Source organism: Homo sapiens, chromosome 4 (assembly GCF_000001405.40).
Source record: "Homo sapiens chromosome 4, GRCh38.p14 Primary Assembly".
NCBI classification, from domain to species: domain Eukaryota; kingdom Metazoa; phylum Chordata; class Mammalia; order Primates; family Hominidae; genus Homo; species Homo sapiens.
This window is the reverse complement of record NC_000004.12, coordinates 76,176,412-76,192,675: the sequence shown is the minus strand read 5'-3', so window position 1 is coordinate 76,192,675 and position 16,264 is coordinate 76,176,412. Positions and strand designations below refer to the sequence as shown.

Genomic DNA, 16,264 nt, shown 5'->3' with positions numbered 1-16,264 from the left:
GAGTCTCCCTATGTTGCCCAGACTGCGGAAATGCTTTTCTTTCTCTGCCACATGGCCAGGTTGCAAATTTTCCAAACCTCTATGTTCTGCTTCCCTTTTAAAAATAAGGTCCAACTTTAAGTCATTTTTTTACTCCCACATCTGAGTGTAGGCTGTTAGAAGCAGCCAGGCGACATCTTGAATGCTTTGCTGCCTAGAAATCTCTGCCAGATATCCTAAATCATCACTCTCAAGTTCAAACTTCCACAGATCCCTGGGGTGTGAACACAATGCAGCCAAGATCTTTGCTAAGGCATAACACATGTGAACTTTGCTCCAGTCCCAATAAGTTCCTCATTTCCATCTGAGACCTTTTCAGCCTGAACTTCACTGTCCATGTCACTGTCAGCAATTTGGTCACGATCATTTAATCAGTCTTTAAGACATTGCAAACTTTCCCTCATCTTCTTGTCTTCTTCTGAGCCCTCCAAACTCTTCCCTTCTCTGCCCATTACCCAGTTTCAAAGCTGCTTCCACATTTTCCAGCTATCTTTATAGCAATATTTGACTCTCAGTACCAATTTTCTAAATTAGGTTGTTCTTACATTGCTATAAAGAAATAACCTTCCTGGGCATGGTGGCTCATACCTGTAATCCTAGCACTTTGGGAGGCCAAGGTGGGTGGATCACTTGAGGTCAGGAGTTTGGGACCAGTCTGGCTAACACAGCAAAACCCCACCTCTACTAAACATACAAAGATTAGCCTGGCATGGTGGTGCCCACCTGTATTCCCAGCTAGTCAGGAGGCTAAGGCAGGAGAATTGCTTGAACCTGGGAGGCAGAGGTTGCAGTGAGCCGAGAACATGCCACTATACTCCAGCCTGGGTGACAGAGCAAGGCCCTGTCTCAAAAAAAAAGAAGAAAGAAAGAAAGACAGGGAGGGAGGGAGGGAGGGAGGGGAGAGAGAGAGAAAGAGAGAGAAGAAAGAAAAGAAAGAGGGAGAGACCTGAGACTGGGTAATTTACTTAAAAAAGAGGTTTAATTGGCCTATAGTTCCACAGGTTCTACAGGAAGCATGATGCTGGCATCTGCTTGGCTTCTGGGGAGGCCTCAGGAAACTTATAATCATGGTGGAAGTAAGAGAGGGGGAGCAGGCATGTCACATGGCCAGAGCAGGAGCAAGAGAGGGGAGAGGTGCCACACTTTACAACAGCCAGATCTCGTGAGAACTCACTATCTCGAGGACAGCACTAAGCCATGAGGAATCCTTCCCATGACCCAAACACCTACCAGGCCCCACCTACAACATTGGGGATCATATTTCAACATGAGATTTTGAGGGGACACCAAAACTATATTATTGGTCTTCGTAGATTAATTGTTTTAGTCTGTACAAGTCAATATGTAGAATTATAAAGATGAACCCTGTTGCTATATGAAGAAATCTAAGAAAATACTTGGGTCCTCATTTTAAAAAGCCATTTTGTATGTGTTCTATGCCTGATGAAACACTGTGTACTGGGTAGAGAAAGTTTGTATTTTAAGCTCTCCCACTGGCAATAATTAGAAGTTGAACCAGGATCAGTATCTAAGTGTCCCATTGTTTGTTGTTGTTGTTATTTTTAAATGAAATTCCTTAAGATGTGATGGAGACTCTGCAAACTATCCAAAATAGTGTCATTCCAACATGTTAGCAATATTTAGAATTATTAATGAGATACTTTACAATCTTTTTTTATACTGTCTTTGAAATCCTGTGTGCATTTTACACTTATAGAACATTTCATTTCAGACTAGCCACATTTTGAATGTGCAATAGCCACATGTGTCTAGTGGCTACCCTATTAGACAGCATAATTCCAACCATACTCCCATGATTTTTTGTTTGTTTGTTTGTTTGTTTGTTTGTTTTTGAGACAGAGTCTCATTCTGTCTCCCAGGCTGGAGTGCAGTGGCGCGATCTTGGCTCACTGCAACCTTTGTCTCCCAGGTTCAAGTGATTCTTCTGCCTCAGCCTCCCCCGTAGCTGGGATTACAGGCACGGCCACCACGCCTGGCTAATTTTTTGTATTTTTAGTAGAGACAAGGTTTCACCATGTTGACCAGGCTGGTCTCGAACTCCTGGTCTCAAGTGATCCACCCGCCTTGGCCTCCCAAAGTGCTGGGACTACAGGCGTGAGCCACCATGCTTGGCCACTCCCATGATTTATAAGCTCCCCAGACACACTGCCTTGCCAGTATTCATGCTGTTGCTTCAGTCAAGAATGAATTCCTCAGCGCTACCTCTCTTGACCTTCACATCTTACTTAGTGCAAATGCTGTCTCCTCCTGAGACTTGCCTGACTTCGGATACTCTCCCTGTTACATCTTATTTAAAATGTCAAGTAGACTGGGCACGGTGGCTCACACCTATAATCCCAGCATTTTGGGGGGTTGAGGTGGGCAGATCACTTGAGCTTAGGAGTTCGAGACTAGGCTGGGCAACATAGCAAAACTCCGTCTTTAACAAAAATACAAAAAATTAGCCAGGCGTGGTGGCATGTGCCTGTGGCCCCAGCTACGTGGGAGGCTGAGGTGGGAGCATCGCTTGAACCTGGGAGGTGGAGGTTGCAGTGAGCTGAGATTGCACCACTGCACTCCAGCCTGGGTAACAGGGTAAGACCCCCATCTCAAAAAAAAAAAAAAAAGTGTCAAGTATACCACTTTATAGCACTTGTAAAGTGGTATGTTGATGTGGTTTGGTTGTGTCCCCACCAGCCAAATCTCAGCTTGAATTGTAGTTTCCATAATCCCCACATGTCATGGGAGGGACCCAGGGGGGTAATTTAATCACGGGGGCAGCTACCCTCATGCTGTTCTCTTGATACTGAGTTAGTTCTCACGAGATCTGATGGTTTTATAAGGGACTTTTTAAAAAACCCTTTTGGTTGGGTGTGGTGGCTGATGCCTATATTCCCAGTGCTTTGGGAAGTCAAGGTAGGCAGATCACTTGAGGTCAGGAGTTTAAGACCAATGTGGCCAACATAATGAAACCCTGTCTCTACTAAAAATACAAAAAGAAAAAAAAATTAGCTGGGTGTGGTGGCACACACCGGCTAAGGCAGGAGAATCACTTGAACCCCGGAGGCAGAGGTTGCAGTGAGCTGAGATCACGCCACCGAATGCCAGCCTGGGCGACCGAGCAAGACTTTGTCTCAAACAACAACAACAACAACAACAACAGACAAACAAAAACCCTTTTGCTGGGCACTTCTCCTTGCTGCTGCCACGTGAAAAAGGACGTGTTTGTGTCCCCTTCTGCCATGACTGTAAGTTTCCTGAGGCCTCCCCAGCCATGCTGAGCTGTGAGTCAATTAAACCTCTTTCCTTTATAAATGACTCAGTCTCAGGTATGTCCTTATTAGCAGCATGAGAACAGACTAATAAATATGTGCATCCATTATGACAGTGACTAATTGCATTTTAATAATTGGCTTAGGTATCTGTCTTTCTTCCCAATGTACTGGAAGCTCCATGGGGTGCAGTGACCAAGTCCTTTGGTCTCTGACTGTCTACTATTTAATGAATATTTGTGGAATATGTAAATTAAACATCTTCAACTGTGGTTTAAATTCATAGGACACATGGAAAAACTAACACTATAGGACACAATTATTAAAAAGTATTTAAAAGTAATGACAAAAAACGCAGTTACTTTGCACCCACCTAATAGCCGGAACCATAGGACTTAGTTCAGGAAACCCAAATATAGGTTCAAGAAAGGGGAATCAGGCCCTGAAAATGAATGGCTTTGTTAGGAATATGCATATGTGCAGTGCAGGCTGCTAAGAGCTCCTTACAGGGCTGAGTGGGTCGTGAGATCTGGGATTTGTAGAAAAACATGGCTTTTTAGGGAGCTGTCCAAACCTTCTATGGGGCCTGTTAGTCTCTACATGTGCCTTTTGCGGTCATTCACTGGATTTGATTTCTGTCACTTGTGGCTTTATGATGCTATTGTTTAGGCTGGATAAGACAGAACATTCCAGAAGCTTCTGCTCCAGTGTTTTCTCCCAACTGAGTCAGCTGACTCCATCAATTGTATGCCAGGGGGCCTGGGGCAAAGGAAGGGGAGGGCATGTAGCCCCTTTCGCCAGTTAGTACAGATTGGTGTGGTGGTGGGAAACCTCTGAGATGGGGAAGGGCCAAGCAAGACTGTGGAGGGCCTAACTCATCTGACACAGGATTTACAGTGGCACATTTCCCAAACCTTTCACATACTGGGGAGTTCAGAATAGTAATGTTTTTGGAAAAAGATGATGGGCATTCCAAATGTTGATAACAGCCAGTCAGTCTGGTTTAAGGAATGAAGTGTATTATTTACATTTTTGTAAAGCTGCAGATTGAGCAGCCCTGGAATGGGTCTGTGAATACAAGGCTCATTGGCCTCATGATCCTTTTGCTCAGGGACATATTTGTATAAAATTTGTATCAAAGTTGTGGTATCCCATGGCTTCTGCAGCCTTTTTGAGGTTTATTTTTTATCTTGTCAGATACCTTTTTCTATTTTGCCTACCATTTAACATTTCAAGAATTAAAAAAGAAAACAATTTGTCTAAGGGCACTTCCAATTAATTTGCGTATTTCTAAGAAGTATTTACTAAATTTACAGTATCCCGTGAAATATCTTATTTTGGGGTTTCTTAGTTTTGCTGTTTGGATTATTCATTTCTATTTTAGGCTTGTATTATTTAAAAAGATGTAAGGGCTAGATCTTAAGTTATTTTATTATTCATTGATAACAAGTAATACTGGATTTTCAAATATAATCAACATATATAATATATACAGCATTATCTTTAAGAGTGTAGACTATATTTTATATTATAAAAATTACACATATATATGTGTTCCATATATATAATCACTAAAGATCAACTTGAAAATGCAGTAAAGTTTTGAACAAAAACTACTAATCCATGGCTTCACTGTCTCAAAAATAACCAATGCTAACTAACATTTTAGTGGATATCTTCTTGGCCATTTTTCCATGGATGAGTTTTAGATGGTTATCATACTATGTACATATGCATGTACATATACAAAATATACATATTTTTTATTCACCTAATGTTATAGCATAGGATTTTTCAATGTTATATTTTGGTCTTCATACAAATGAATTTTAATGATGATTATATTTAATAGAGTAAATGTATTACTACACTTAACTGTTCCTTTCCTGAACATGTAGATCCGTTTTCATTTTCTCCTCTGGTTACCTCGTGGGTTGAATGTTCTCCTCATGTTTGCCAGCCAGTTGTGTTTCCACACTTTTAGTTCTTGTCCTTTGTCCATTTGCTTATCTGGGTTCTGGAGTGTTCATGGCACTCTGTGAACCTTTTATGTTTCATTTGGGGCAACTGCTTTTCCATTGTTTACCTTGTCAATTTTTAAAATGTGTTGTAGTCAAGTCTATTCTTTTTCAACATTTCTATCAGGTCTGAGCTTTAAAAGTCTTACTCCCTTCAATGGTTTGATGTTCAAGTCGATTTTCTTATAGTTCTGTTTTTCCACATTTAATTTCTTCAGGATCTAAGTGTCTTCCTTGCAATTTAGCAAAGGCAGGAATTTTGTTTATACTGTCTAATTCTGTCCTATTAACCCTTTAGTTCTTTAACCGTGTCTGAGCCAAGCTGTATAAGAAATTTTTTTAACATAAAGAGACAACAAAAAATTTAGGAACACCGTGATCATTGTTTCCATTATTATAGGAGAATGCTTTCTCCTTTTTTCTAAACTTGCCTCGCTTTTCTCTGATAGTGTTTTTAGATTGGTAGCTAAAACTGTATTTGTTTTGCCAAAATAGAAACAGATTTTGAAAAAAAAAATCCTTAAACTGCTCAGAAGTAAAAAAAAATAGAAAAAGATCTCTCACACCATCTTATCATGCACAAAAGGTTGTGACCAGGTATGTGTGAGTTTTAAATGCACGTGGTACATTAGGTGAATTGCCTACGTGAGCCTATGGGTCACTGCCTGGGGACAGGGAGACCAGGGAGATATTTCCATCTTAAGGAGTGAAACTGTTTCTTGCACACTGTCAACAAGCGGGTGAGTCTTCTCCCGACCCTGCTCTTACCACTTCTTCTCAGTATCCTGCTTTGTATCTACAGGTTGCTGCCTTCAGTTACCTGAGCGGGCAGCGTACTCAAAGTTAAGGGTAGAGGCTCCTCAGCCTGTGCCTTTGGCTGGCTCCCCTTGCTTTCCCTCTTCTCTGTGGTCACCCTAGGACTTCAGTACTCCTTTCACGTTGATGTGTTCATCACCCCAGCCTCGCCTGGATCTGTGATGGTCTTTTAAAGCGTGTCCTCCTCCTCCAGGACCACAGCTTTCTCACTCCCCACATGGGAATGCTTTCATGCTTGCTGCCCACCTTCGCCCCACCGCTGCCTCTGTTGGAACACCCCCTTCACCCTCCCACCTGCAGAAGCCCACTCTTTCCAGAATCAAGCAAAAGTGTCTTTTGCAGGAGTCCCCTTCCAGTTGCCATCCCTCCCTCCTCTGTATGCCCACAGTGCGTTTACTGTGAAGGAGGTGGCCTCTGAAGGCAGTCTCCCATGCTCTACTGTGGATTCTTGGAGGACCAGAACCAGGACTTAATGTCACACCATCTCAAGAGCTTAGCACAAGCCGTTGCACATGGTATCAGTAGCTAATCCCTCCTAAGCAGCAGGTGTGCCAGGTAGTGTTGTAACTGGATTTATGTGGATTTCATTCTCACAACAACCCTACAAGGTGAGTACGTTATTACCTCCATTTTACAGATGAGGAAACTGAGGCACAGAAGCAGTGAGTAAGATGAAACCAGGGTTGAATGTTAACCCTACCAGCCAGATCTCAGTCTAGTTTGTATCCAGTGTATGCCCAATCACTTCTTAATAGTAATTCTCAACAGAGGATTAGGTGAATGAAGGAACCAATATGACTGAAAGATAACGATACTATGATAGTATTATACGCATCCAATTTATCAAACACCTCTGAGGAATTAGATATACCGATGTTAATTTTCCACCTAATTAAAATTATTCCTTTTGATTTCCACTCCTTATCTCAGTCTATTGTTTCTAAAATTATTTCTAAAACCAACCATGAATTTTCCTGCCTGATTAAATAGTTCATGGAGCATAACTGAACCTTGTCTTAATGACAAGGACCGTCATAGTAATGCACAAATGTTATACTATAGTCTGAGATTCATTAGCATCTACTAAATACCAGGGACCATGCCGGGCACTTTTAAGTATAGTTCCTTGATTAATTGCCTAGGCTGAAAATTTGATTTGTTTTTTGTTGTTGTTTTTGTTTTGTTTTTTCAAACTCTTCTTTGTATTTCTGAAAGTTCATTTGGTCTTCTTTGATCTTGTAGGACAGTAACTGATCAATATGCCCCTCTCTGCAGGCACCAGCCTTGGCTTACACAAAAGTTTGGCTTTGAAATTTCCTCTCCTCCTCCATATTCCAATAAATTACTGTGAATTAACCTCTGTGTAAAATCAAGGAATACCCTGAATGAGAGGTGAGGTCACCAGGATTCTAAACCTGGCCCTGACACTTTCGATTGGTCCTGAATCCACATATCCTTATCTATAAAAAGGTGGAGTTAATGATTTCTAAGTGAAGGGTCTTTGGTTATAAGCAAAATAAACTACCTCTGGCTAATTTAAGTAAAACGGGAATCTATTTGAAGGCTATAAAGTAGGTTAACAGAATCAAGGAAAGCAGCTTGGAAGACAAAAGCAGGATGCAGGGCAGCTTTAAAGATCCAGGTCACGAGAGTGTATTGATCATCACATCATGTGTCTGCCACTGGGAGGAATCCTGTCTTTTACTGAGTTTTCTTGTTTTTAAATTAAAATTTTTTTTTTTTTTGGTAGAGACAAAGTCTTGCTCTGTTGCTCATGCTGGAATGCAGTGGCATGATCATAGCTCACTGTAACGTCAAACTCCTGGGCTCAAGCCATCCTCCCACCTTAGCCTCCCAAGTAGCTGACACTACAGGTACATGTCACCACGCCTGGTTCTTTTACTGTGTTTTCTATCTTGAGGCACTGTGCTCAGGATTCAGAGGCCAGAGGAAAGGAATTGGTTGAGCTCAGGTCCCATAGCAACCTTGACTGATGGTCTTACACAGCTGTACAATACAAGAGAGGAAAGCAAATCAGGGCTATTACCAGCAGAAAGCGGAATGGTTGTCTAACAAATGAAAAGTCCACTGCAAACACTGAACTTCAAGCTGTGTAAGTGGTTTAACACGGAAGTGTCTATCAAATTTTTAAATATATTCTTTGTAAACTGGAAGGGCATGTAATTTATCATTAGATTTGGCTTTGGTTAGAGGCATTTGTTAGAGGCATTAGCTGGTTTCATCCTACAGGCGTTTCTTAGGTACCTGTTAGGAGAGGTTGTCTCATACAGAGAGAGGAGCACCTTGTGCTAATGAGAAAGACTTGGGATCAAGTTCTCACTCTTCTGCCTGTGCTCTGTGTCCCCAGCTGTGAAGTGGGGCAATACTACATGCTGTATTTGTACTACATACTTGTAAGGATTAAATAAAATAAAATAATGTGGGTTAAACTCTTTGAAGAGCTATGCAAGGGTCAGCTATTTATAGGATTAGTGGGCATAGCTTGGTGCTTAGTGTGATATGATGTGTGATATGTGTATATGTGATAGGAAGTATGCTTCCTTCTATACACTTGACAGAGTATAGGATATAGACATGTGATATGATGAAATATATATTTAGTCTTCCTCCATTTCCTGGCATACAGCTCCTAAGATCCTTGGAATCGCTTAAGTGATAAGTGTCTTTTTGTATGCTAGTGAATTGACTGATGACTGGCAGCCTCTATGGCTCCTGGATGGGAGCTGGTCCTGAAAGAAGAGGACAGGATTAGAGGGTTGGGACTTTCAGCCCCACCCCCCAACCTCCCAGGAGGGGAGAGGGGCTGAAAGTTGGGTTGATCACAAATGGCCAGTGATTTAATCAATCATGCCTATGTAATGTAGCTTCCATAAAAAACCAAAAGGACTGAATTTGGAGAGTTTCCAGAGAACCAAACATGGGGAGGTTCCTGGAGAGTAGCGAGCCTGCAGAGGGCATGGAAGTTCTGAGCTCCTTCCCCTACACCTTGCCCAGTGCATCTCTTCATCTGTATACTTTGTAATATCCTTTATAATAAAATGTAAGTGTTTCCCTGAGTACTCTGGGCTGTTCTAGCAAATTAATTGAGCCCAAGCACAGGGGGATGGGAACCCCAATTTATAGCCATTAGTTCAGAAGCACAGGTAAAACAGCCTGGGGCTTTTGATTGGCATAGGAGGTGGAAGGCAGTCTCAACCTGTAGAATCTGATGCTATGTCCAAGTAGAAAGTATCAGAATTGAATTGAATTGGAGGACACTGCAGAATTATTGGTGCAGAGAAAACGCCACACACTTCTTGGTGACCAGAAGTCTCAGAAGTCTTAGAAGTCTTCTGTGTAAGTTGTTACAGTATGAGAGCACAGAAAAAAATGGTTTGTTTTTTCTACTGGAGAAGATACAAAGACTCATCTATTTGTATGCATCTATATGAATGCATTTATTTTCTCATCTGTTTTTATTTTAAAGTCTAGAAGGGATTTAAGAGGTATAAAGAGATACAATATACAGACAGTCCTTGACTTATGATGGTTCAACTTGAATGATGTTTTGACTTCGCGATTGTGTGAAAGTGATGTATTTGGCATGCCCCTCCAATGACGATAGAGTTACATCCAGATAAACCCATTGTAAATTGGAAAGATACTAAGTTGTTGAATCAAAAACAAACTTTCAACTTACGATGTTTTCAACTTATGATGGGTTTACTGGGACATAACTCCATCATCACCGAGGCGCATTTTTACGTACCAGTTTCAGCCTTCAGCTTGCTTGCAGTCTACCTGAGGCTACATGATAATTTCACAATCTAAATGATGTCACTCAGAAGTTTCTAATTGAATGCTAAAGACATGTACGGACATCCACAGGTGGGTGAGAAAAATCCCTGTGCTGCTATGGTTGGGAAAGGCCTCAGAGGAGGTGTGGGTAGCCCAGCTGGCCAATGCCTTCCTAACCTGTGCTCTTAAATTAGCTCTGTTCAATAGAAATATTACATGAACCACATGTGTAATTTAAGATTTTAAGATTTTCTAGTAGCCACATTTTTTAAAAAGTAGAAGGAAGCAGGTAAAATTAATTTTGATAATATATTTTAATTTTACCCATTATAACTGAAATAGCATCATTTCAATATATAATCAATATAAAAAAAGGTTGGCACTGTTTTTGAAATTCTGTATATATTTTACACTTACAGCAAATCTCAATTCCAGTTAGCCACAGTTTAAGTACTCAGTAGTCACATGTGACTAGTGGCTACCATGTCAGACATAATAACCCTAGCTGGTTTAGGAAGAAGGAAAGATAAGCAAAGGGAAAGAAACAAAAGTCACTGGAATTTATTGAACACCTACTATGTACCAGGCAGGGCTAGGGCTAGGGCTAGTGTGAGGCATTTGATGAACAAAAGATCAGATTCTGTTTTTATTTAAAATTTTGTTCATCATAAATTTTTGGCATAAATTTTGGTTTTAATAAATAGTGCATTAAACTATTTATCTTGATTACTACTTGTTTAGGCACCTCTTACATCACTCACACTGACTCTAGGCCCAGCCCTGGCACCAGGCGCTTTCTAAGAACTTTCTAATGCTTCATTTGGGGGCTCTAACTTGAACCAAACTGTGCTGTATATCAGAAACAGAGACCGGGTGTGGTAGCTCATGCCTGTAATGCCAGCATTTTGGAAGGTCGAGGCAGGAGGATCACTTGAGTCCAGGAGTTCAAGACCAGCCTGGGTAGCATAGTAAGACCTCATCTCTACAAAAAAATAAAACAATTAGCTGGGTGTGGTGGCATGCTTCTGTACTTCTAGCTACTTGGGAGGCTGAGGTGGGAGGATTGTTTGAGCCCAGGAGGCTGAGGCTGCAGTGAGCTGTAGTCATGCCACTGCACTCCAGCCTGGGCAACAGAGCGAGACCCTATCTCAAAAAAAGAAACAGGAGTGAACTCCTGTAATTTACTAAGCCTTGGGCATTATTTTTTAAAATAAAATTTCAATTTAATTCAATGTAGAAACAAGAAGACATTGGTAAACAAATTGAAATTCAAACTAAATCTGTGAACCAAACTGAAAATTTTGAAAATACTTCAGGACCAAACCATAACCCAGGAGAGAGTTCATCGGCTTTGATTCCCGGTCAAGGTGACCCTCAACTATTGCACCTCCCTAATCAGGGAAGAAAAGAAGGAAAACAAAGTTTTTGAGAAGACTCTATCCTAGGCCTCGTTTCCTTCCCACATTATAGCTTCGATCTCCAGCTTTTTAAGGCTTAGTAGCTGCAGTCTCTATATAATGTTATATTGGGAATGTTATATTGAAAATATAACTTGGATGCTGAAAGAAAGGAAAAGTCTTGCTTATTAAAGTGGTGTCTATTTTCAAATAAAACCCTTTTCTTTCTTTTAGGGAACTCAGAAACAAAGCAAATATTCAATTTGGAGATAATGGAACAACAATATCTGCTGTTAGCAACAAGGCCTATGTTTTTGAACGAGACCAATCTGTTGGAGACCCTAAAATTGACTTAATTAGAACATTAAATATTCCTGTATTGGTAAGTAGGCATTTTAATACCATTAAGTTGGATTTTGGAAGAAAGGAAAAAGCTAAGTTAATGCTCTTTATGATTTTACATTTAGGAGCCATTAAGTTATGTTGAAATATACATATATAAAAAGAAAAATACTTCTTTTCTTTTCTTTAAAGTACATCTTGGACTTTTTTCTAAGATGTATCAAATAAGGTCTTTTCAAATGATGACAAAATTCAGATTTTAGGATTTGTTTTCATAATTTCTTCCTGGGTGTTCAGGATTAGCAATTGTGCAAATAAATATGCCCCTAGGATTTTTTGGTAGCTAATAATTTTAAAAATGTTTATTTGCCCCTTGTTTTCATTCAGAAATTCTAGCAATGAAATTTGTATACCATTTCTTACTTCAGATTTTTATGTTGGATTTTATACTCTCAAAATTCATAAATTGACACCAGAAATCAATAGACTGGCAGCCTACTGTGATTTCAGTGGGCTCTGTTTATAATGGTAATTCTACCTAATAACGACACCTATTCTACATCTATTCTATACTGAGACCCATGAGACTTTCTTTTTTTTTAAATTAAATTAATTTATTTATTATTAATTTTTTTTGAGACAGGGTCTTGCTCTGTCGCCCAGGCTGGAGTGCAGTCAGTGGCTCCATCACAGCTCACTGAAGCTTCTACCTCCTGGGCTCCAGGGATCCTCCTGTGTCGGCCAGGGACTCCAGGCGTGAACCACTGTTCCTGGGCTGGCCCAGTAAACATTCTAATTCACCTACACCAACCCCTGCCGACTCTCCCACCCTAACCCCTAGGTGACCGCTCCATATGCAGCTGGACACTGATGATGGACCCAGGACCTAGACAGTATGAGGTCCCTGCCACCTAGTCCCAGGGGTGTAGGTCGGGTTTATAATGAGCCTCTGGCCCTGCTTAGGCGGAAGGTAGCGCCACCTTGTGGCCAAAGATGCCCACATGTTTACAAGAGCTTTTCCCCTTTTGTGGTGTCTGGATAACTCAGAGCCTGCAAATGGTCTCTTTGTAAATATTACACTTACAAAATGCAGTACTGGGAAAGGACAGAGAAGAGGCTTTGTCTTCCATATGCAGCCAGAAAGGAGCTCACTGCCTGATTTTTCAGCTATTTAATCTCAACCTTTACATTTATATTTCCAACCCCCTTTGCTATGGGGTAGTAGGAGAGAGTGGATGGAGGTGCTTTGGAGGGGATGCTGCTGTCTTAATATACCTCTGCTCCGCAGACTGTCATAGAGTGGTCCCAGGTGCACTTCCTCAGGGAGATCATCGAGGCCATGTTGAAAGCCTATCAGCAGAAGCTCTTTGTGACTCACACAGTTGACGAATTGCTCTGGGGCTACAAAGATGAAATCTTGTCCCTTATCCATGTTTTCAGGCCCGATATCTCTCCCTATTTTGGCCTATTCTATGAGGTAAGTAGATTTTTCTTTTCAGAACCTCTTTTTTTAGCTGACAGTGGGTTGGGGCACCCCAAGCCAGATTAACTTTGAGTTTCTTCTAGAAATTGCCTAGAGTTAAGTTATCTTATAGAGTGTGTGAAAAATGGAGTGTTTTTTGGAAAGAAAAAAAACTTGAGGCCGGGTGCGGTGGCTAATGCCTGTAATTCCAGGACTTTGGGAGACCGAGGTGGGTGGATCATTTGAGGTTAAGACTTTGAGACCAGCCTGGCCAACATGGCAAAACTCTATCTCTACTAAAAATACAAAAATTAGCCAGCTGTGGTGATGTACACCTGTAATCTCACCTACTCAGGAGACTGAGGCAGGTAAGTTGCATGAACCCAGGAGGCAGAGGTTGCAGTGAGCTGAAATTACACCACTGTACTCCAGCCAGGGTGACAGAGCAAGACTCTGTCTAAAAAAGCCAAAAAAAAAACAAAAACAAAAACAAAAACAAAAACCCTGGAGTGCAGTGGATAGTTGGGAAGTTGGTAAAAGATAAAATAACCCCAGGAAGAGGATTAGATTAGGGGTGTGCTCTGGGATTGTGATGGGTCTCCTCAGCTTTAAATTTGTAGCTGTTTTCTGGCTCTGCCTGTTCAAGAGTCTTACCCTCTTCATGTAATCCTGTAGCATTCCAGTTTTTATGGCAAACAGCAATAATTGTGTCCCTGGGCCTTCAAGGTTATATAAAACGTAGAAATTGTTAAAATAGAATTGTGAGCAAGTTTTAAAAAATTATATGTGTGAGAGACAGGAGTCCTAAAAGTAGGGCCTCACCAACTCTGAATGCATCATTCGGGAGAAGCAGACCAGGCAGGAGTTCCCTAGAGGGTCCTGTCTCAGAGGAATACAGCTTCACAGGACCAGAGGAAGCACAGATTTCCTGTCAAGCCCTGACTGAACCTCCCTTCTAGAAATAATTTCAGGAGAGCCTCCTACTGAGAGATATTATGCAAAGGTTCCCTCGAGGCCCTTTTGTTCCCAGTGGCTTCAATCCATCAGCCAAGTAGATCTTGTTGCTAATATCTCACTGTTTCTCAGATAATTTGCATTATATAACTCACTTTTTTTGTTTTTACATCATTGAATTCACCAGACTGATAGCCACACTATCTTATGTGGTTGTGAGGATTTCATGAGATGATTCATGCAAAAATTTTAGAACAGAGCCAGGAATATTATACTCAACAATTGTTCACTCCTATTATTATAGAGGAGCTACTACCTGTGCTATTTCTGAGAAATCATAGCTACATGCCCAAATAAAGAATTTTAGGAATGTAGTGTCTGTATGTGCCCTTAAGAAGTATAACTTGGAGAGAATATACAATTGAAGAAACCTTAATTGAAAATAGGGCTATATTAATACCGTCTTCTTCCAGTGTAGCTATTCTGGTATAATTGGTCCTGGTCCTGGACTTAGGCTTTTAAATTTGTTATTATTGAGAAATAATTCACTTACTATAACATTTACCATTTTAAAATGTACAATTCAGTAGTCCTTAGTATAGTCACAAGGTTGTGCAACCATTACTGCTAATTCCAGAACATTTTCATTATCCCAAAAAAGAAACTGCATACTCTCTTAGCAGTCACTCCTATTCCTGTCTTACTCTCCCAGGCCCTGGCAACCACTAATCTACTTTCTGGCTCTGTGAATTTGCATATTCTGGACATCTCATATAAATGGAGTCATATAATATATGCCCTTCTGTGTCTGCTTTTTAAATTTAGTGTAATGTTGTCAGGGTTCATCCATGTTGTAGCATGTATCAGTGTTCCATTCCTTTTTATAACTGAGGAATATTCCGTTGTGTAGATATACCACATTTTGCTTATCCATTTATCAGTTGATGGACATTTGGGTTGTGTTCCTTCTTGGCTATTATTAGAAGTGCTGCTATGAATATTTGTTCATACAAGCTTTTATATGAACATTGGGTATATACCTTGAAGTGGAATTCTCTTGAGTATATACATAGGTGTGGAATTTTGGAGTCCTATGAATTCTGTTTAACTTTGTTAAGAACTGACAAACTGTTTTCTGCAGTGACTGCAACATTTTTATATTCCTGCTAGCAATGTATAAAGGTTCCAATTTCTCCACATCCTCACCAACGCTTACTATTTTTCTTTTTTTTTTTTTTAATTGCCCTCCTAGTGGGTGTGAAGTGGTATCTCATTGTGGTTTTGATTTGCATTTCCCTAATGACTAATGATGCTGAACATGTTTTTATGTGCTCTCTGGCCATTAGTATATTTTCTTTTCAGAAATGTCTCTTCAAATCCTTTGCCCATTTTAAAATTGAGCTCCTACTTTTTAAAACCATAAAATAATAATATGGTTAATATAGTATTTAGCAAAATAGTCACTATTTTCTGGTCCTGGTTCAGTCTTGTGTAGCAGTTAGGCCCTAGTAGGACAGTTAGATGAAGATTAAATTTTTTAGTTACTGTATCAGTTAGGGTTGCCAGAGAAACTGAATCAAGAGGGTGTATATGTAGAGATGAGAAAGAGGGAGAGAAAGAAATTTATATTATGGAATTGGCTTATGTGATTATGGGAGCTGGTAAGTCTGAAATCCATAGAGCAGGCCAGCAGCTGGAAACTCAGGTAAAAGTTGATGATGTGGTCTTGAGTTTGAAATCTGTAGGGTGGGCTGCAACCTGGAAATCCAGGCAGAATTTCGATGTTGCAGTCTTGAGGAGAATTCCTCCTCTAAGAAACCTCTGTTTTTGCTTGTAAGGCTTTGAACAGATTGGAGGGGGCCCAGCCACTCATTATTGAGGGTAACCTCCCTTAAAGTTAACGGATTGTAGATATTAATCACACCTACAAAATACCTTCACCACACCATCTGGGCTAGTGTTTGACCAAACAACTGGGCACCATAGTCTAGCCAAGTTGTCATAAAATTATCACAGTTACTTTAAATGATCATATTCACATATTTTCAGAAAAATGGGACTAATGATGGAGACTATGTTTTTCTAACTGGAGAAGACAGTTACCTTAACTTTACAAAAATTGTGGAATGGAATGGGAAAACGTAAGTCAAATGATTTATCAGTGGA

At 40.4% G+C, this 16,264-nt stretch overlaps 1 protein-coding gene across 4 annotated transcripts in view, besides 1 other annotated feature; it reads left to right on the top strand.

Annotated features, from left to right (window-relative positions):
• Positions 1-16,264, top strand: part of SCARB2 (scavenger receptor class B member 2) — a 75,796-nt gene that overhangs the window by 41,857 nt on the left and 17,675 nt on the right. For 3 of the 4 annotated variants that reach the window (XM_047416429.1, NM_005506.4, XM_047416430.1), the window contains exons 3-5: positions 11,575-11,722; positions 12,971-13,159; positions 16,148-16,239. The exons of the other annotated variant lie outside the window; for it this stretch is intronic. In XM_047416429.1, coding sequence (XP_047272385.1) covers positions 13,022-13,159; positions 16,148-16,239 — 230 coding nt within the window. In that variant the 5' untranslated portion in view covers positions 11,575-11,722; positions 12,971-13,021. The remainder of the gene's footprint in view (positions 1-11,574; positions 11,723-12,970; positions 13,160-16,147; positions 16,240-16,264) is intronic. 4 annotated transcript variants of the gene reach the window in all.
• Positions 12,549-12,608: a silencer, noted in NCBI's record as "silent region_15485". NCBI's record gives its function as "represses an Ori minimal core promoter by ATAC-STARR-seq in GM12878 lymphoblastoid cells {active_cell/tissue: GM12878}" and the evidence as "EXISTENCE:reporter gene assay evidence [ECO:0000049][PMID:35858748]".